Source organism: Homo sapiens, chromosome 13, assembly GCF_000001405.40.
Source record: "Homo sapiens chromosome 13, GRCh38.p14 Primary Assembly".
NCBI lineage: Eukaryota > Metazoa > Chordata > Mammalia > Primates > Hominidae > Homo > Homo sapiens.
The window spans coordinates 102706003-102728559 of NC_000013.11; the positions used below are offsets into that span (position 1 = coordinate 102706003).

At 41.2% G+C, this 22557-nt stretch overlaps 1 non-coding gene across 1 annotated transcript, besides 1 other annotated feature; it reads left to right on the top strand.

Annotated features, from left to right (window-relative positions):
* Positions 9753-9982: a silencer, noted in NCBI's record as "fragment chr13:103368105-103368334 (GRCh37/hg19 assembly coordinates)". NCBI's record gives its function as "represses an EF-1alpha promoter that drives an FKBP-Casp9 reporter gene in an ReSE screen in K562 erythroleukemia cells {active_cell/tissue: K562}" and the evidence as "EXISTENCE:reporter gene assay evidence [ECO:0000049][PMID:32094911]".
* Positions 15800-15903, top strand: LOC124903258 (small nucleolar RNA U13). The gene has a single exon (XR_007063957.1). It is a non-coding gene; the product is annotated as a small nucleolar RNA U13 (small nucleolar RNA).

The following is a 22557-nucleotide window of genomic DNA, read 5'->3' on the forward strand; positions in this document are numbered from 1 at the left end:
GCTAATTTTTGGTGTTTTTAGTAGAGACGGGGTTTCACCATGTTGGCCAGGATGGTCTCAATCTCCTGACCTTGTGATCCACCCTCCTCGGCCTCCCAAAGTGCTGGGATTACAGGCGAGAGCCACTGCGCCCGACCCAGCTCAGTGGTTTCTTACCAAACTAAATAAACGTACTCTTATTATACAATCCAGCAAACAAGGTTTTTGATACTTACCTAAATGAGCTGAAAACTTATGGAACCCTAAGTTTATGTCCACAAAAACCCTGCACATGGATATTTATAGTAACTTTATTTTAAAATTTTTTTTATTTTACTTTAAGTTCCAGGATACATGTGCAGAATGTGCATGTTTGTTACCTAGATATATATGTGCCATGGTGGTTTGCTGCACCCATCAACCAGTCATCTAGGTTTTAAACCCCACATGCATTAGGTATTTGTCCTGGTCTCCCTAGTCCCCCACCCCTGACAGGCCCTGGTGTGTATTGTTTGCCTCCCCGTGTCCATGTGTCCTCATTGTTCAGCTCCCACTTATGAGTGAGAACAGGCAGTGTTTGGTTTTCTGTTCCTGTGTTAGTTTGCTTAGAATGATGGTTTCCAGCTTCATCCATGTTCCCTGAAAAGAACATGATCTCATCTCATTCCTTTTATGGCTGCATAGTATTCTATGGTGTATACGTGCCACATTTTCTTTATCCAGTCTATCACTGATGGGCATTTGGGTTGGTTCCAAAGCAACTTTATTTGTAATTGCCAAAACTTCGAAGAAACCCTGATGTCTTTCAATAGGTGAATGGATAAGTAAACTGTAGAACATCCAGGCAATGGATTATTATTCAGCACTAAAAAGAAATGACCAAGCCATGGAGAGACATGGAGGAATCTTAAATACATATTACTAAGTGAAAAAAGCTAGTCTGGAAAGGCTGCATGCTGTATGATTCCAACTATATGGCACTCTGGGGAGTGCAAAACAATGGAGACAGTAAAAGGATCAGTGGTTTCCAGGAGGTGGGGTTGAGGGGGATGAATAGGTAGAGCCCAGAGGACTTTGAGGGTGGTGTAACTACTCCATATGAGAGGATAATGGTGAGTACATGTCATACATTTGTCTTAATGTGCATTAAGAGTGAACCCTAATGTAAACTATAGACTTTGGGTGATAAGTGTCCATGTAGGTTGATCAATTGTGACAAATGTACCGCTCTGGTGTGAGATACTGATAGAGGGGGAGGCTGGGGAGAGATGAGTGGCATATGGGGTGTATGGGAATTCTCTGTGTTTTCTGCTTAATTTTGCTGTGAGCCTAAAACTACTCTAAAGACGTCTTTTAAATAACTGCACACATAATAAAAGTAAATAGCAACGATATTCAAGATTCAACGTTTTAGTTAAGAGACTTTATTTGCAATAACAGGTTAGCTTCTGTTTTAGTTCTCCCAGAACAAAATTCCATAAGTCAATATTTTACTAATCCTTTCTCACAATGTTAATAGAAAACCCTGAGTGGAAATCAGAATTCAATCGTCAAGTCTGTGCAAGTGGAAACCCTGAATTGCAGGGTAGCTTAAGTGCTTTACACACATTGAAGATCAGCTGATTTAGTTACTAGTCTTGGATCTCTTCCCAGCACAGCAATAACGATGGCATTATCAGTGGCTTCAATATGGGATCGTCTTGTCATTCCAGACATATGAATCACTCTAGATACTGGAATAATAACACAGGGATTTCTCCCAAAAGAAAGAATTGCAGCATGCCTTAATACAGAGACAATAAAATCAGAAATACTCAGTTACACGTGCATAGAAAACCTCAAGTTTATCTTGCAGTATCTCTTTAAGAAGCCCAGGATGAATAGAAGAGAGCAAGGAAATGTCACACTCCTCTCACTTTAGAGAAGATGAATGTGATAAAAGGCTCATCTCATGAAAGCTGTCTATGTCACCTGTCCCAGAATGTGTTGATTCTAGTCTGAAATGCATGCCAAGTTATCCCAACCACTTAAAACCATCAACATTAGAAGATAGCCAGGAAACGGACTGAGGCCCAAATAGAACCTCTTTTTTTAGCTTTCCTGGCAAAATAGGAGCTGTAGGTTCATAGATCATTTATAAAAACTTTGACTCCATCAAACTTACTAATCATTTTATTTAAAATAGAGCTCATCTCTACAGACATTCCTTATTTAGAGTATAACATTTTCCATTCTCTTGGTTTAATTATTTTATAAGTGACAAGCTGGGCTAGACGTTTTCCTTCCCAGACATTTATTTTGTTCTCTGGAAAATATTTCCTGCCTCTCTTTACCTAGATAATTCTTACTATTTCCTGCCTCACAACTAGGCATCACCTGCATCAGGTCCACTTTAATTATCTGAGAATCTGCCTCTGCCTCCTACCCACTGGACTGTAAGGAACATGAGGGTTGAGACCTTGTACCTGGTCTGGTTACTGGCATGGAAAAAATGCTCATTAAATGTTTAAAGAATGAATGAATGTACGAATGAACACTGGGAACAACTTCTTTTTATTTCTTCAACAGAATTTAGGTCACACAAGTTTTAAAAATTCATGCAGATCAGTTTCTTTTTAAGTAGAGAGATGCTTAATACTCTTATACTCACTCCTTTAGAAAAGATTGAACTGCTATATACCGATCACTTTTTCTCACCAAGATTTTTCTTCGCTAAATTTAAAACATATAGAAAGTTATAAAACTAATATAATAAATACCAAAATTCCCACCACATAGAATTTTAACTTAATATTTTCTCCTATTTGCTTCCAGTTATTTTTTAAAGATATAGATACAAGTAGAGGTCCCTTCCAACAGATACACTGTGTCAGTCATGCACTTACCACCTTTCAGCTCCAAATTCACCCTTTTTTGCCTGCTCTATGCAAACAGATGTGGGCCCTTTCAATACTTTGCCAGCTGGAACAATGCTAAACTTTGTCAGTAGACTAGACAGAAGGAGAGGGTTTTGCCCCTTGGTTCAGGTGTGCTCCTGCAGACTGGCAGCTTCCCCAGTGTCCAGCTCCTTTAGAGCACATGGTTTCCCCAGGACCCAGCTCCTGCAGAGCTCATAACCTCTCTAGTTCTCAGCCTCTGCAAGGCATGGCAGCCAGCAGCACCCAGCAGCAGCAACTCACCTCCCTACCAGCATCCTTGAGTAGTTTCGTAGCTCAGCCCTTCCCTACAAGCAGCTTTCCCAGAACCGTCTGGGGCAGATTTCTGACTAATGTGACTAGCACAGCACCACAGGGACTTCTCCACAATCCAGTGAGCCATGGCCACATCCTCTCAATAGGCTCTGGATCTCAGCCCTTTTGAGGGGACAGGCAACTTCTATCTCAGACTTAAGCATAGAGGCTGCTGCTTATATTTGTTATTTCCACACTTTTTAGGGTTCTTGTTTTACTAGTCAATGCCTCATTATTCCAATCCCTTGTTATACCTAATTCTTTTATATTCAACTTTCCCTGTTTAAATTACTGTCTGGTTTCTTTCTCCTGATTGGACCCAAGCAGAAATAGATACAAAGGGTCCTTTCAATAGGAATATAAAATTTATATTTTTCTTGTAAGGTATAAAATTAATCAGTATAGCTGCTGTAGCTTCTTCTACATCTAGAGGTATGATAGGAACTGATATGCCTGTACTCTCTGTCCTGCAAGTGCCAGAGGGGATGATTCTGATTGGGAAAAGCCACATGTAGAGACATGCTAGCACCCTTGGAGATTCACACACTCCTGGTTCCTTTGAGCTTCAGGTCATGGTGACCAATGATTATGCCAAATGGGGTCCCTGGCAATGGGAGACACCCTCCACCCAAACACATGCCCAGAAGTGTTGAACTTGTCACTTCCCTGTTGTGACTACCAGGCATACTCCTTCTGAAAATCAGCTATCAGCTTGGTCTTGTCCTCTAATTGAAACTGCACACCTGACCTATAAAGGCCTTGTGACTCTCTGGTCTGTTTAAACTCAGACTCAATCGCTAACATGGTGAGAAGGGTCCAACAAGCCTAGGCTGGAAAATGGAATTTGGACAGCCTGGCCCCAGCAGCATCTCGGCTGTACACAAAACAGTGGGCACAAGCCCTCTGAGGGAAATTTTATCTCCTATTCACCACCTGAGGCGAAGCTGTGGCTCCATGGGGCCCTCACTTTACAGAGGTTCCCCTAAATGCATGGGCCTGGGTCACTGATGGTTTTTCCAAGCTGAACCCCAGTGGTGTCCCCTGAGCTGCTGTGACTACACAGATCCAAAAACAGATGTGAGCTGTCTGCTCAGAAGGCAGAATGCATGGCTGTTCTTGCAGGTCTGGCCAAGACTGCCCTTGATGCAACTTGCCCTATTTTTAGTCATTCTTGGGCTGTTGTCAACGGCTAAGCATTTGGTCAGCCACTTGGAAAACTACAGATTCCAGATGAACAGCATCCCGTTTGCAGGTCACAAACTGTGGAAACAAATCGTGACTGCTGAGAGAAACATCTGGGTCACTCACATAGATGGAAATGATCAAGGCCCCTTCTCTGATGAGACCGATTAGAGCCAAGCTGCCGGTGGAGCCTGCACTAAGCAGATGGCCACGTTGCTCTCTGGACCCATCGCTGTGCTGGATGTGGGAACGCACCCACCACTGTGGATGGCACAACGTGCAGGACTCCATGTTTATGATGCGGGGGCTCCCACTGGAGCTCCTGCCACAAGTTGACCTACTTGTCTCACAATGGTGTGGCCTCGTGGCAGGGATGCTTTCCCTGCTGCCGCCCACAGCCTGACCTTTGGGCCCTTCATGGGACTATGGTGGTGCCCTGCTACTCTTGACACCTTTTCAGGTGGTGGTGTTATTGTTCTAGTTCCATTAACCAACTCTGGCCACATCATTGTGGCCCTTGAAGATAATCTTTGCCATATTTTCAGCTCTGTGAACCACCAGCAAATAGCTACTTGATGGCCCTTTCTCTCCTTACCACCCACAGGCATCTGATGTTGTTGATCATTGGAGCAGCCTCCTAAAAACTTGATTTAAAAGATTTCTGACCGTATTCCTGGTCCACACTCCTTAGCCAGGTAGTTTGGTCATGTACGTGGCTCATTATTGACTGAAATGCCATTATAGGCCACACTAATAAAAGACACAAAGTTGACTTAAACAATTGGAAAAACATAATACGTTCTTGATAGGAGGACTTAATTCCTTAAGATGTAATTTCCCCCTTACTATATAAATTTGATGCAATTCCATTAAAAACGCTGATTTTGCCCTCTGGAGCTAGATTATAGGGTTTGTATTTTAAAAAAAATTAATAGGCTAGGCAAGGTGGCTCATGTTTATAATCCCAGCACTTTGGGAGGCCAAGGCAGGTGGATCACTTGAAGTCAGGAGTTCAAGATCAGCCTGGCCAACATGGCTAAACCTTGTCCCTACTGAAAATACAAAAATTAGCTGGGCGTGGTGGTGCACGCCTATAACCCCAGACACTTGGGAGGCTGAGGCAGGAGAATCGCTTGAGCCTGGGAGGCAGAGCCTGCAGTGAGCCAGGATCATGCCACTGCACTCCATCCTAGACGACAGAACGAGACTCTGTCTCAAAAAATAAATGAATAAATAAGTAAAATTAATAAACAAGACTATCAAAGAAAATTTTGGAAAAAGCGCAATGTGGGAGGCTAATCCCATCAGTTATTTAAAACATTATAAAACTTCTATATTCAAAGCTTCATGGTATTGATATGTGATAGAAAAACAGGCCAAAGTTCGCATTTGAATAGCACAACTGGAAACAGACATATATGGTTATGGAAGTTTAATAAATAGTGAAGGTATTATCTCAAGTCATGGGGAAGTTTTGAATTATTTCATAAATAATATTGAGCTATGTGGGAAAAAATACACAGGAATAAATTCCAAATGGATGAAATCTAAATGTAAATAATGTAGCTATAAGTACTAGAAGGCATGTGTTAATTTCTTTATGACTTGAGAATTAAGAAAACTTTTTAAACCATCATTAAAAATCCAAAACCAATGTCTAAAAGATGTACAAATTTTGGCTGAGCATGGTGGCTTACACCTGTAATCCGAACACTTTTGGAGACCAAGGCAGGAGAATCCACTGAGCCCAGAAGCTGGAGACCAGCCTGGGCAACATGGCAAGACCTTATCTCTACTAAAAATTATAAAATTAGCCAGGAGTGGTGGCATGCACCCATAGTCCCAGCTACTCAGGAGGCTGACACAAGAGGATTGCTTGAGCCGAGGAGTTTGAAGTTGCAGTGAGCTATGATTTACCCCACTGCACTCCAGTCTAGGTAATGGAGCAAGACTCTGTCTCAAAAACAGGTATAAATTTGACCACATAAAATTTAAATAATACTGTATGACAAAAAATTCAGATGCAAGGCTGGGTGCAGTGGCTCACGCCTGTAATTGCAGCACTTTGGGAGGCCGAGGAGGGTGGATCACCTGAGGTCAGGAGTTCAAGACCAGCCTGGCCAACACGGTGAAACCCCATCTCTACTCAAAATACAAAAATTAGCCGGGTGTGGTGGCACACACCTGTAATCCCGGCTACTCAGCAGTCTGAGACAGAAGAATGGCTTAAACCCAGGAGGTGGAGATTGCAGTGAGCCAAGATCGTGCCACCGCACTCCTGCCTGGGTGACAGAGTGAGATTCCATCTAAAAAAAATTCAGATGCAAGATCACAAGATAAATTAACAAACTAGGAAAAGATATTTGCAATTTAAGTCTCTGATAAAGGGCTAGATCTCTGTTCAAGGTGAGATTTGGGTGGGGACACAGAGCCAAACCATATCAGTCTCTGAAAAGTTGTTTAAAAAATGTACATCAAGACCATCCTGGCTAACACGGTGAAACCCCGTCTCTACTAAAAATACAAAAAATTAGCCAGGCGTGGTGGCGGGTGCCTGTAGTCCCAGCTACTCGGGAGGCTGAGGCAGGAGAATGGCGTGAACCCAGGAGGTGGAGGTTGCAGTGAGCCCAGATCGCACCACTGCACTCCAGCCTGGGTGACAGAACGAGACTCAGTCTCAAAAAAAAAAAAAAAAAGTACAAATTAACTTACAGTAAACAATGTACAAAAATATAGAGTTCAAAGAAAAATAAAAATGGCCTTAAACATATGAAAAAATGCTCAATTGCATGCATGTAAAATAAATGTAAGTCAAATTACATTGAGATTTCATTTTAATCTGTTTTTTTTTTTTTTTTCCAAGACGGAGTTTCGCCCTTTCACCCAGGCTGGAATGCAGTGGTGTGATCTCGGCTCACTGCAACCTCTGCCTTCCAGTTTCAAGCGATTCTCTTGCATCAGCCTCTCGAGTAACTGGGATTACAGGTGCCTGCCACCACGCCCGGCTAATTTTTGTGTTTTTAGTGAAGACGGAGTGTCACTATGTTGGCCAGGCTGGTCTTGAACTCCTGACCTCGTGATCTGCCAGCCTTGGCCTCCCAGAGTGCTGGGATTGCAGGCATGAGCCACCGCACCCAACTTTAATCTGTCATAGTAACAAAAATTGACAATAAGTTTTATTGATAAGACACTGGAGAAACAGACACTCTAAAACTGGTAGCAATGCAAAATGGAGAATAATTTGTCAATGTCTACAAAAAAAGTATATGCATTTATACTTTGACCCAGCAATTCAATTTCCCAAAGGCACACTAGCAAAAATATAAAATGATTTATGCATCTAATTAGGGGACTGGTTACATAAACTATGACGCATTTTCCCAATGTAATGCCATGTAGCAGTAAAAGAGGCAAGAGGAGGGCCACCACATGCTGCTGTGGAGTGAATGGTGGATATATTGCTAAATGAAGAAAGTACACTGAAAATAGTATATATAGTATGCAACAAGCTGGGCACAGTGGCCACGCCTATAATCCCAGCACTTTGGGAGGCTGAGGCAGGTGGATCAATTGGGCTTAGGAATTGGAGACCAGCCTGGACAACATGGCAAAACCCCATCTCTACCAAAAATACAAAAATTAGCCGGGCGTAGTGGTGCACACCTGTGGTCCCAGCTACTTGCAAAACTGAGGGGAGGATTGCTGGAGCCCGGGAGGTCGAGGCTGCAGTGAGCTGTGATCGTGCCACTGCACTCCAGCCTGGGTGATGGAGTGAGACCCTGTCTCAATATAAATAAGTAAATAAAAAATATATAGTATGCAACCCAGTGTGCAAGCAAGCAAGGAGAATGCAGGTACAGTTTATATTTGTTAAAAGAAAGGCTAGAAAGATAAAATTAAAGCTAATAAAAATAGCTGCTTTTATGGAGAGGGAGGAAGTAGAATGAAGGGGACAGGAATATAAGCAGGTCTCTCTTGAGAGTCATTTGCTATATAGCTTTGATTTCAGAGACAATTCAAAAATAAAATGTTTAAAAACTAAGCCAGGTTTGGTGGCTCACGCCTGTAATCCCAGCACTTTGGGAGGCAGAGGCGGGTGGATCACAAGGTCAGGAGATCGAGACCATCCTGGCTAGCATGGTGAAACCACTTCTCTACTAAAAATACAAAAAATTAGGCGGGTGTGGTGGTGGGCGCCTGTAGTCCCAGCTACTTGGGAGGCTGAGGCAGGAGAATAGTGTGCACCCGGGAGGCGGAGCTTGCAGCAAGCCGAGATCGTGCCACTGCACTCCAGCCTGGGTGACAGAGTGAGACTCCGTCTCAAAAAGAAAAAAAGTTTAAAAACTAAAAATTAAATTCAAACAACAATAAATGAGTCAATGTGTATGACATACTGACAAAAGAGTTGTTTCAAGTGATTTTAGAACATAATATTTTGACTATGTGTGCTTATAGAGATATATTCTAAGGGCAAATAGAAGTGCAAGTAAATGTTAGAGTTGACTGGGTAGTTTAATTTTAAGCAGGTATACTGTATTACTAGTATTTTGAAATTTTTACATAGTGTAGGATAATAAAAATAGATAATTAGGCTGATGTTATTAATAACCAAAATTTTCAGTATGACAAAAGAGAAACAAGTATAAAGTCATAGCCAAAAGTGCACAATTTGGGCATTAATAAGAAAAATATATTCATTCAATTAAATGAGCAAATTGAACATATGAGAGAAAGAGAGCTCCAGCTCATTGGACACCATTGCAAATACCAGGGCACCAATTCCTTACTCTGAAAATTTACAATTAAAAGAGATGAATTAAGCACTCATCTTGTCTTTCAGGATAATTAAATAGCTCTAATTGGAGAGAGAAAATTATTATTTACTGAGGAATTCCAGCTAATAGATGAATAAGGAATGACAGAATCAGAAAACCATCACTTTGCCACCCCTGGTGAAACAATTGAGTCACACAGCAATCACCAGAGGATAACATTACTTCGTGATGGGTTGGTGGGGAAGGAGAATGGAGGGGTCAGGCTGTCACTACTTGAATTCTTTGATCAATCTCAGCATCACTGAAAATGGAAACTGATCATTTGGTGCCTCCTGATGTAATGTGATATGAAGCACACAGCACCAACTGTAATGTATTCTTGCCAAAAAAAAAAAAAAAAGTTAAGCCTGAATCTAACTAAGCCTCTAGGGAAACACAAGGGATAAAGAAGGAAGTGAAAACCACAAGGAAACAAAAAAGAAATCAAAATATGGGACATTCTATAGGACAGCTTGTCTGGTTTCTTAAATAAGCCAACATCAGAAAGCAAGGGAGAGAGGGAGGAATCAATTTGATTAAAAGAGACTTAGAAATTACAATATGCAAATGAAATGAATGGACTTTGATTTGATCTGAATTCGAATAAACAGTCTGTACAAGTTTTTTTTTTTTTTTTTTTTTAAGATGGAGTTTCACTCTCATTGCACAGGCTGGAGTGCAATGGTGCCATCTTGGCTCACTGCAAACTCTGCCTCCCAGGTTCAAGCAAATCTCCTGCCTCAGCCTCCCAAGTAGCTGGGATTATAGGCATGTGCCACCATGCCTGGATTATAGGCATGAGCCACTGCGCCAGACCATGTACAAGTATTTTTGAGACAACTGGAAGAATCTAATCATGGTCTGATTATAAAATGTCTCTGAAGAATTATCGTTAATTGTATTAGGTGTGATAACATTGGGATTAAGGAAGATAATGCTGTTATACTTTAGGGGCTAATGTATGCAGGAGAGAAAGGACATGTTGTCTAGGATTTTCTTTAAAATACTTTTAACAAAGAAAAAGAAAATAGACGTGGGTAGGTAAGTATGGAAAACTCGAGAACTGTTGAATCTGGGGAGCGGTGTGCAAGAGTTCTTGTGCTATTCTCTGTAATTTTGTGCATGTTTAAAATTTGTATAATAAAATAACTTAAAGCCTTTTATATAACAGATTAAATAATAGACCAAAAGAGAAATTATAAATTATTGATTTATCAGCTGAAAAGCTGAAAATCTTCTGCACTGAAAATAAGAAACTTACTAAAGCGAAAGATTTGGAGTGATGTTGAATGCCTTGTCTGTCATCACTGGAAGCTAGGAAACAGTTGGACTGCATATATTAACTAGTGCTAGAAAAAGACTACAAGCTAAGGTTTCCATACCCAGCCGAAGTATCCTTCATCCAGGTAGCGACAGAAACATATGCGTGGATATATATGGTTTGGGAGAGTATAGCTCTCATATGCTATGTGATGAAAGAGAAATTATAAACCATTGATTTATAATTTCTATTTTGGTTTATTATATAATCTGTTATGTTATTTTCTTTTCCCCTCACAAAAAATGTATTGAGTTGGACACGTATAATCTATACATTTTCATGTATGTGTATTATCCCTCAATAAAAGTTTTACTTCCATCAATGCAAATGATTCCTTTAAAATATTCAGTAGATTAACTGAAGAGAGGTTATTTATTGTTGAGACACAAATTTGTGACCTAGGAAATCAAATGAAAGCTAATTTCAAAACACACAAATTGTGAGGGGAAAGATGAGGAATTTGGAAGACAGATCTAAGAAACTTCACATGCAAATAATAGAAGTTCCAGGAGGAAAAAACCAACAGAGGGGCAAACACTGGTAATAGATGAGGAGACCCCTAAGTAGGAGAGAGACACTTATTTGTAAATGGAGAGGGTGCATGCCTCTTCAGAAAAGACTATGAAGGCCCACACCTAGGCATATCCTGGTAAAATAGCTGAACTCTAAGCATAAAGATGAAACTGAAAAGCTTCCGGACTGAAAATAAGAAACTTACTAAAGCAAAAGAATTGGAGTGATGTTGAATGCCTCGTCTGTCATCACTGGAAACTAGGAAACAGTTGGATTGTATATATTAACTAGTGCTAGAAAAAGATTACAAGCTAAGGTTTCCATACCCAGTCAAAGTATCCTTCATCCAGGTAGCAACAGAAACATACATGTGGATATACGTGGTTTCGGAGAGTATAGCTCTCATATTCTATGTGATGAATATGCTGGAGAAATCTATTTACAGTAAACCACAAATGAATTAAAAGATTGACTTAAAGATGAAGAAACACTAAGTGAAGAAATGCTTTATAGCTATGACCCTTGTGATAGTTAAATCTAAATGGTTGATTATTGATTGTTTAGGTTTCTAGAACTCTATATAAATGCTAAATAAAGATTCTTGTAACAGAAAAGGCATTCTGCAGAGGAAAACCTGTCAATAGCCTGAAAGTAAAATATTCAATTATTTATTGTTATGGACTGAATGTGCACTTCCCCCTCCAAATTTATGTGTTGAAATCTCTTGTTAGGATGGTATAATGAGGCGGGACCTTTAGGAAGTGATTAGGTCATGAGGGTGAAGTCCTCATGAATGGGATTAATGCCCTTAGAGGGGAGATCCCAGGCAGCTCTCCTGCCCTGTTTCCACCATGTGAGGATACAATGAGAAGACCACAGTTTGCAACCCAGAAGAGGGCCCTCACCAGACCCCCAACCATGCTGGCACCCTGATCTTGGACTTCCAGCCCCCAGAACTGTGAGAAGGAAACGTCTATTGTTTACAAACCACCCAGTCTGTGGTATTTTGTTAAAGCAGCCTGAACTGATTAAGACAATTATCCATCCCTGATAGTTAGGGAAAGGCTGGGACTCATAGGAAGCAGAGCTTTCTCAAGATCGTATCTGACAAGAGGAAAGTAGGTGAGGTAAAGGTAAGAAAGGATGAAAGTCGTGTCAGGAAGTTAGTGCTGCCTTCACACTCCAACAACAGGGTCCCTTGCTCTTCACATATGTCTTCAAGAGCCTGGCTTTTCTTCCATCCAAAGGCCACCTTCCAAGAAAGGAGTGCATGGTGTGTGCGAGAGGGGCGAGGGGAGGCAGGAAGTAAGGGGCCACCCACCTTCTTCTGGACCCTGCTCCGTGCTCCTGGGATTGCAGAATACCCAGTCTAAAAAGTCCTGAGCCAACTCTAAGCCACATCCGGGAAGAGTCACAACTCCTGAATGTGCCTCTTTTCGGATCTGTTCTCCAAGGAACCCAGTGGTAGGCAAGAGACAGCTGTGTGTGTGTGTGTGTGTGTGTGTGTGTGAAGGTTGATGGCATGTGTGTGTGTACTGGTGTGTCCACACCTGGGACCCCCCTTCTTGCTGTGGAAACAGAGCCAGGTTGGAGATAAAGCTGGGAGGGCTGCAGGCCAGAGTCCTAGACCAAGAGTGGCTGTGTTCATATACATTTCCAGAACAGGCTTCCAGGAGCTCTGAGGATTCTAAACTCAAGCCTGGGCTTTCAGTGCATTCTGAAGATGATTTTGACAGGGTAGAAGAATAGAGCATATATGACAGCTTATTAGTTTGATTTATACATTTTACATATTTAGATAAATGGTACATGGTTCTCCCTTTATATTCTTGTCCCAGCCCTGCTAAATGTTGGGGCAGCATTTTATATGGCAAGGGTGAGTCATGAATTCAGAGCAGAAAGAGATCACAGTGGGCTGGGTGAGCTATGAAGGAAGGCTTCGTGAGAAATCACTGCAAACTATGGCATTTTAGGGTAGAAAGAGACTGTTGAGATTAAGCTAACTAAAAAGCCAGGCGTCTTTTATTTGGGTTTGGATATAGCACAGCTGAAATCAAGGATCTAGTACTATCCTCTTACTTTGCTCTAAAAGAAAGCCCAGGAAGCTCTGGCTGATAGTAACAGAGCTGAGCCTGACCCTACGCCTCTTGGTTGCCATCTCAGGGTCCTGCCGCTTCCCCATGTGCTTCTGCTGACCTGAGAGGAGCAACAGCTCTGGAAAAGCAGGAGTGTGTTCAAGGACAGGCAAAGAACCTGGAGCTCCTGAAACTTTTCGGATGGGAAGCGAGTGATTGGCTCTTCTCTACATCTGGAAGCACAGCCTGAAGTAACTGCCTTTGAAATCTCACCCCGATCTTTAGAGGTGATGTGAATTGTACATTCTGTTCTCTAGTGAGGCTTTGGAATTAGACCAAGGGTAGAACTGAGATGCTGCCCCTTAATTGGTAAATTTGGGAAAGTTATTTGACCTTTGAGCCTCAGTCTCCATGTCTATAAAATGGGAGTAGTAATAGCAGGGCTGCTGTAAGTATTAGATGATGTTATGTATATCAAGAGTTCTTTGGTGTCAGCTCACACCTGTAATCCCGGCGCTTTGGGAGGCCAAGGAAGGGGGATCCCTTGAGCCTAGGAGTTCGATACCAGCCTGGGCAACATAGTAAGACTCTGTCCCTACAGAAAATAAAAAATTGGCCAGGTGTGGTGACATGCACCTGCAGTCCCAGCTACTTAATAGGCTGAGGTGGAAGAATTGTTTGAACCCCAGAGTTTGAGGCTACAGTGAGCTATGACTGCACCACTGTACTCCAGCCTGGGCAACAGAGTAAGACCCTGTCTGGAAAAAGGAAAAAAGAAGAGTGCCTTGTGCTCAACACATGTGGGCTGATGAGCCTCCCAGCTGTGTGGGTGGGCAGATTTCCCTAATGAATGGTCACTCTTGGTATGTTTACTTAGCTTTGCTATGTACATCGAGATGGTATTATTTAGTGTTTAGAATGGATGTTGCAACTTATCTTCTCCGTTTGGAAAATGATATGCCAGCAACAGCTGAGTTTTGAAGAATTGATGACACGTTAACTTAGAACGGACACAGGGTAATGCTGAGGCCTGGTAAATTTCCTGTGCAGCAGCTCATAATCAGTGCAGATTCTTGGATCAAGGGGAAGCTTCTCTTTCCAGAGTTCCAGTCTATTTTTGTCAGCAAGGAGAGGTGATATGGCTTATTTTGTAATAATTCTTGCAATCCTATGATGATATGCATGATCTAAATAGACTAATGAGCCAGTCGCAGTGGCTCACGCCTGTAATCCCAGCACTTTGGGAGGCCAAGGCAGGTGGATTGCTTGAGCCCAGAAGTTCAAGAACAGCCTGGGCAACATGGTGAGACATTGTCTCTATAAAAATTAAAATTAGCTGGGCATGGTGGTGTGCATCTGTAGTCCCAGCTACTTGGGAGGCTGAAGTGGGAGGATCACTTGAGCCCGGAAGGTGGAGGCTGCAGTGAGCTGAGATTGTGCCACTGTACTCCAGCCTGGGTGACAGGGCGAGACCTGTCATAGTATTATGCTTTTATACATATTTAGGGGGAACATTTAAGTTGCTAGAAAAGTCATGGATATGTCCAAGTGGTACACAAAAGGAACCAGGAATACATATTTGACAGTGTTTTAGTAAAACAAGTAATAATCTTAAATATGAAATGTATATGAGTCTCAAAATGAACTTAGAAAAAATGGCTTTGGTAGTATGTTCTCCCTGTGGGGAACTGTGAATTCTAGGAAGAAACTGAATGTTAAATTGTGTAGATCTATCACTAGTTTGCTGCAAAGTAACAGAATTGCTCTCCTCCTATGTTTCACCCACTTTGGATTTTAAGATGGGACTGGGACTGGCCCACCAATAAGGTAAGGATGAACACACACACACACACACACACACAAACACAGACACACACAGAGACACACACAGAGACAATACTTACATACAAGTAGCCCATAAACCAATACTTCTGACCCTCTCTCCACTCTAACCGTTAAGTCAAATTGGGAGAGTTGGTTGGATGATGAGACCAAAGTACCTCTCACTTCGAAAATGATGTGATTCTTTGGCAAGTCAGTGACTTGCCTGTCTTCGTGTCAGAACATTAATTCTAGGATTTTACTAGGATTCTTCCAAGTATAACATAAAGAATAGGGTCTTCAGTCCCAGGCTCCCCCAACCCCACATGTACTCGATGGCCTTGGTTTTCTGATCGTCCCTGAGACTGCTTTGGTTTCAAGATGCCACTGATAAATTGGTAACAAGAACCAAATTCTGGCTTGTCTGACTCCAAAGCTGTGTTAATTTCATTGCACTAGTATTACAAGTTTTCCAAATCTTTCCTTTGAGTATTTTATCTATGATATATTGCTCATATTTTAAATGTTCTATTAAAATACTATGGTATCTGGTACAAGAGGATAAGTACTCTTTATCATCTTGGATAAAAAAGATAAATAATTATTGGGGAAATAATTAAAGAGAGAATTTTGCACCTATCAAATTTACTCAGAGGTTATCTACCCCTGTTTAAGTTTTTTTTTTTTTTTTTTACTAAAGAAAGGGAGATAGTAATAGCTTCCACCCCTTGAAGACTCTGAGTTGGCCTAATAGAATATTTTAAACAACCCTTTATTTCAAAGTTGACTTTTCAATATTGATACAAGGCTCAGTGTTTTCAAAATATTTTAAAAGTTGAGATTCTTATTTAAAGGTATATTGAGATCCTTTTGTGGTTCATACATGTGGTGATTGGGTTTTCACACTCACATGTGAGATGTGCCTCCCTCCAACCTTGTTATGATGTCAGCACATTACCCATCTGACAGGAAGGAGAAAAAAAAGGAAAAAAATTCAACATTATGCAATCAAGTCATGTCCTGTCAATGGGCAAGCAAAATTTGTTTCCATGTGCTGGTCAGCTCTGCTAACCTCTCTGCTCAGTTGGCCGGTTGCCTTTCAGAGCTTTGCCATTGTGTTTGCTCATCCTGCTCCAAAATATCCAAGTGTTTATGTACCAGATGTCTGGGCACAGTGATGACTGTATCATCCACATTTAGCCTGAGACACTGGTCTATAATACATTCTTTTCAGCACCATTAATTTGGGATGCAGTTAACATTTCAGTTCTATTTGTAAGGATCCATTATTTATGTTGGTTGTGGATGGAACAGCACATTCTTTGAGCTCCATCTATTTCTGCCACTATTTGGTGTTTTTCAAAGTGCTCTGAGGAGCTCTGTAGCTTCAGTGCAGAAAGAAGAGAGGGTAGAGAGCCAAGTCACCAGGGGCTCATGCCACTTTCCCTTTACCAAGAGCAGTTCTTCTACTCATGTGCTTGGAGAATATCTTGAGAGGTTCATTTCTAGGATTTTTCTTCTTTTCCATGTAATTTCCTCTTTTCCTTCCACCACTCAAGGAAGTATCCAGCTTAATTTTACTCCTTCCATAGAAGTGTGTTTTAGGGCTAAAAAGCAAATTCACCTGTAAAACTTTCTGAATTTTGTTTCAAAAGATTATGTCCATGGGAGATCATAAGAGGCTGGTGGTGGAGGCTGATAGCAGAGAAGGATTTTCTGATAGAGGTAGAATGTCCAGAAGATGCAGAAGGGACCATGAGGATCTCCCCTCTGATTAAAAAGAATGCTTTTTAATCAAATCTTGTGGTTTGGCTAAAAAGAGCAGTCTTTTCTTGGGACATTTCTTTTGTCAGCTATTTGCATGGTGTTTCCAGATTCTGAGATTCTCCAGTCCAGAATATATAAGTGAAAAAGTTAAATAGGAAACTAACCTCCATATCCTTTTTTGAATCCTAAAGTATCTAGCTAATTTTCCATATTTTCTCCACCTTTCAGTCTTCTGATATTTATTTTATGTGTTTTGTCCAGGGTTTTTAGCTGTAGCTGAAGGAAGAGATATGGTAGAATGTGTTTACTCCTACTTGTGTGGAACACACACACCCTTGGGTTTTTGACCTGAACTACTGGAAGGATGGATTTACCATCAACCGAGATAGGAAAGACTATGGGTAGAACAGGTTTCCTCACAAAGATCAGCACTCCAGTTTGATTATGTTAAGTTTGAAATATCTACTACTCAAATGAGGGGGGATATGAGTAGGGCAATCATACATGTCTAGATTTTAGGAGAGAATTTTGGGGATGGGGATGTAAATTTGGTTGTAATCCAGTAGATAGAATGCCTTTAAAACCATGGTATTGAATGAGATCACCAAAGGTGGAGGAAGAAAAAGAAAAAAACCCAGCACATGCAACTGAGACGTAGGAGCCAATGATGGAGGTCTGTGGTATCCTGGAAGCCAACTGAAAAAAATATTTCAAGAAAAAGACAGCAATCACCTGTGTCAAATACTGCTAATCAAAAACAGTATTTTTGAATTAGATCTAGCATTGAATTTCACAACGTAGAGTCTACTGGAGACTTTGATAAGAAAAGTTTAAGTGGAATGGTGTGAGAAAGAAAGATTGGTGTGGATTTATGGGACAACGGGAATAGAGGAATTGGACTGTGAGTACAGATAATTCTTTTGAGGACTTTTGTTGCAAAGAGGAGAAAATAAATGGGGAAGTCATTGGCAGGGGAAGAAGGGTTAATGGATGATTTTAATTTTATTTATTTATTTTTTAGATGAAGGAAATAACAGCATGTATGCTCTTGGAAATGATCTGGTAGAGGGTGAAAAAATGCTAATGTAGCAGAGAGAGAGGAGAAATGTTGAAGTGATTCCATGAGTGTATGAGTGCTCTGGTTTGAATGTTTGTGTCCCTCCAAAATTCATGTTGAAATGTAATCCCCAATGCAAGAGTATTAAGTGGTGGGGCCTTTAGGAAGCTACTAGGTGAATGGGATTAGTACCCTGAAAAAATAAAATGGCTTGAGGGAGCGTTTTTGGCCCTTTCTACCCTTCCACCGTGTGAGCACACAGCAAGAATCTGTGAGTGAGGAACAGGCCCTCACCAGACACTGAATCTGCTGGTGCCTAGATCTTGGACTTCCCAGCCTCCAGATCTGTAAGAAATAAATTCTTGTTCTTTAGTAATTATCCGGTCTAAGGCAGTTTGTTATAGCAGCCCTAGTGAACTAAGACAATGAGAAAGGATGAGATTTGGCATGCAAATGGAGGCATTGACTTGAGATGGTTCTGTTCATCTGTGGTAATAGGTGAAGAGGCAAGTTATGTAGGTGGAGATGTGATGAAGAGAGTCTGTGAAGTCTCTTCTCAGTGAAGTATGAAGCAAGATCATCTGCTTTTGAGTGTGGGTACAAAGTGTTCAAAGTTTGAGAAGAGTAGCAAAGGTATAAAATAGCTAAGAGGGCCAAGTTCTGTGGCTCATGCCTGTAATCCCAGCAATTTGGGAGGCCGAGGCGGACAGGATCATTTGAGATCAGGAGTTCAAAACCAGCCTAGCCAACATGGCAAAACCCTGTCTCTACTAAAAATACAAAAAAAAAAAAAAAAAAAAAAAATTAGCTAGCCATGATGGCAGGCACCTGTAGTCCCAACTACTCGGGAGGCTAAAGCAGGAGAATCACTTGAGCCTGGGAGGCAGAGGTTGCAGTGAGCTGAGATCATGCCATTGCACTCCAGCCTGGGCAACAGAGCAAGACTCTGTCTCAAAATAAATAAATAAATAAAATAGTTAAGAGGGTTGGGGAGAGAATGGACTATGGGAATGTACTAAGGCCCACCAGAGTTTCGTCACGAATGTAGTGATTCCAATTAGAGTGGCTGTGTGTATGTGGGGTAACCTGGTGGCAGAATGCCATAAATCCAGCTTGAGTCTCTCACTGCTTTCAATTGTCCCCTTCTCTCACTCATATCACCTCTCATCATCCCATTGTTCTTGAACAAGCTACAGAAAACAAAGCATGGCAACAAATTTGAGACAGCAGTTCCAAACATGCGCTCTGCAGTGACATGGAGTATTTTTGAGCTGTGAACATAGCGGCATCTGTTGGACACTGTATGAATTATTAGCTCAAGGGAGTTCACAGTTTTATTATTGCATGGTGCTACATTCCTTTCCATTACATACTTTCTTTGTCGACCTGAGTTTTCAGCCGTTGCTGAAATAAAAGCAAGTATTGCACAAGAATCAGTTTGGTGTTCCATCCAATTCCAAAGTTTGAGTTGTGTCATGCCCAACAGGCAAACACACCTCACTCAGTAATTGTGGTTAAGAATGAAATAGGCGCAGTGGCTCACGCCTGTAATCCCAACACTTTGGGAGGCTGAGGTGGGCAGATCACGAGGTCAAGCAATTGCGACCATCCTGGCCAACATGGTGAAACCCTCTCTCTACTAAAAATACAAAAATTGGCTGTGTGTGGTGGCATGTGCCTGTAGTCCCAGCTACTTGGGAGGCTGAGGCAGGGGAATCACTTGAACCTGGAAGGCAGAGGTTGCAGTGAGCAGAGATCAAGCCACTACACTCCAGCCTGGCGACAGAGCGAAACTCAGTCTCAAAAAAAAAAAAAAAAAGAAAAAGAAAAGAAATAGAAATAAAAAATATTTTTATTTCAATTTATATGTACTATTATTTAAGCAACAACTAAGTTGTTAAGATATGAGTAAGGCCGGGCACAGTGGCTCATGCCTGTAAACCCAGCACTTTGGCAAGCCGAGGTGAGTGGTTTGTCTGAGGTCAGGAGTTTGAGACCAGTAGAGCCAACATGGTGAAACCCCATCTCTACCAAAAATACAAAAAAATTAGCCAGGCATGGTGGTGTGTGCCTGTAATCCCAGCTACTCGGAAGGCTGAGGCAGGGGAATTGCTTGAACCAGGGAGGTGGAGGTTGTAGTGAGCCGAGATTGCGCCACTGCACTCCAGACTGGGCAACAGAGCGAGACTCCGTCTCAAAAAAAAAAAAAAAAGTAAAAAAGAAAAAAAAAAGGTATGAGTAATAATTGTTTAGACCTAAGCTACTTTTAGTGCTATTGTTAGCAATTTATTTTGACCTAGAGGTGCAGTGGAAAAATTAGAGATGCTAAGGGCACCTAATTGACTGAGAAAATGTGGGAACCTCTGACTTAAAAATGAATTCCTGTTGCTTTCTCTATTTCTTCCACGTACTGGGTCAAGGCCTCGTAAAGTGCAGTTGTGTGCAGTAGAACTAAGAAATTCTCATGCCAAAGTCAAAATCTTGCAGGGAAATCGCTTATGACAAACGCTCTCTCCACCCCACTCCACCAAGTTCCCTCATTACCTTAAAACTTGAGCCTAAATATCTCTCCCTAGTTTTAATGGCGTATGGCTGCACCATGACCATCTGTTATAATACGGGAATTTAAAGCCAAGAGCAAACATGTGCCTTTTAGCTCCCCTAAGGACTTACATCTCTAAAAGAAGCCAGAACATGTGGGTCACCAGAAGACTTGGCTTGGAGGTTTATCGTTTTGTCAACATCTACTTCCAAATAGGTAATTCTTGATAGATGACTTAGGCTGAATAATTGTGGCCTCAGGACTGCTTTCTTTTTGCCAACAGAGATACCAGTAATATACGCATGTGTGTTGGGGAAATGAGATGCCACCAGGTGGTGTTTGTTCATATGTCTATGTGTCTATGTGTGTTATGGCCCTTTCAAGAGACTGTCTCTCTTCCCTGACCTGACACTGTGAGTTTTGCAAGTCAAGATTGTGCTTTGCAGCAAAAGAAACTCTCAGCAGAGTAAACAAACAATCTACAGAAAGAGAAAATATTTGCAACTCATGCATCCAACAGAGGATTAATATCCAGAATTTATAAGGAACCTAAATAAACCCAGAAGAAAAAGCAACTCCATTAAAAAGTGGGCAAAGGACATAAACAGACACTTTTCAAAAAGAGACAGACAAGCAGCCAACAAACATAAGAAAAAATACTCAACATCAGTAATCATCAGAGAAATGCACAATGAGATACTACTATCTCACACCAGTCAGAATGGCTATTATCAAAAAGTCAAAAAATAATAGATGTTGGTGAGGTTGTAGAGAAAAAGGAACACTTATACACTGTTAGCGGGAATGCAAATTAGTTCAGCCACTATGAAAAGCAGTTTGAAGATCTCTCAAAGAACCAAAAACTGAACGACCATTTGACCCAGCAATTCCATTACTGGGTATATACCCAAAAGAAAATAAATCATTCTTCCAAAAAGACATGTACTCGTGTGTTCATCACAGCACTATTCACAGTAGCAGAAATGGAATCAACATAGATGTCCATTAACAGTGGATTGGATAAAGAAAAATGTGGTACATATACACCATGGAATACTATGCAGCCATAAAAAAGAACAAAATCATGTCCTTTGTTGTAACATGGACGCAGACAGAAGCAGTTATCCTAAATGAACCAATGGAGAAACAGGCAACCAAATATCACATGTTCTCCTTGATAAGTGGGAGCTAAATCTTGGGTTCACTTGGACCTGAAGATGGGAACAATAGACACTGGGGACCCCAAAAGAAAGAAGGGAGGGAGGGAGGGATGGAGGAAGGGCTGAAAAACTTCCTATCGTGTACTATGTTTACTATCTGGGTGATGGGAGCAATAGAAGCCCAAATTTCAGCACCACGCAATATACTCTTGTAAAAAACCTGCACGTATACCCCCTGAATGTAAAATAAAAATGGAAATTAAAAAATAGATTGTGCTGGCCATGCATGATGGCTCATGCCTGTAATCCCAGTGCTTCGAAAGCCTGAGGTGGGTAGATCACGACGTCAAGAGATTGAGACCATCCTGGCCAACACGGTGAAATCCCATCTCTACTAAAAGTACAAAAATTAGCTGGGCATGGTGGTGTGTGCCTGTGGTCCCAGCTACTCAGGAGGCTGAGGCAGGAGAATCTCTTGAACCTGGGAGGCAGAGGTTGCAGTGAGCCGATATCACACCACTGCACTCCAGCCTGGTGACAGATCGGGACTCTATCTCAAAAAATAAATAAATAAATAAATAAATAAGTAAAAGAGTATGCTTTGTTAATCCAGGTGTGGTGTCACGCACCTATAATCCCAGTTACTTGGCTTGAGCCCAGGAGTTCAAGACCAGCCTGGGCAACATAGTGAGACCTAGTCTCAAAAAAGATAGTTTAAAAAATAATAAATGCTTGAGGTAACAGATACCCTAATTACCCTGATTTGATCATTACACATTGTATGCTTGTATCATAATATCACATCAACCTCATAAATATGTACAGCCAATATGTACTCATAATAATTAAAATTTAAAAAAAAATTTTAAGATTGTGCTTTGTTAATTTTTGTTCTGTTCAGTACCCAGGACAAGGCGTGGTATATGGTTGACTGAATTTGTTGCTTACAATATGGAAAATAATTGATGTTATCTGCATAAGCAGATATACTATAAAAGCTGAAAAAGCTTGAGCTTCAGGGCCCCAAAGATTTGTAAAAATAAGACAGGTTTACTGCAATTAGTTAAAAATGTTATTTCCACTTTGACTTACCCTC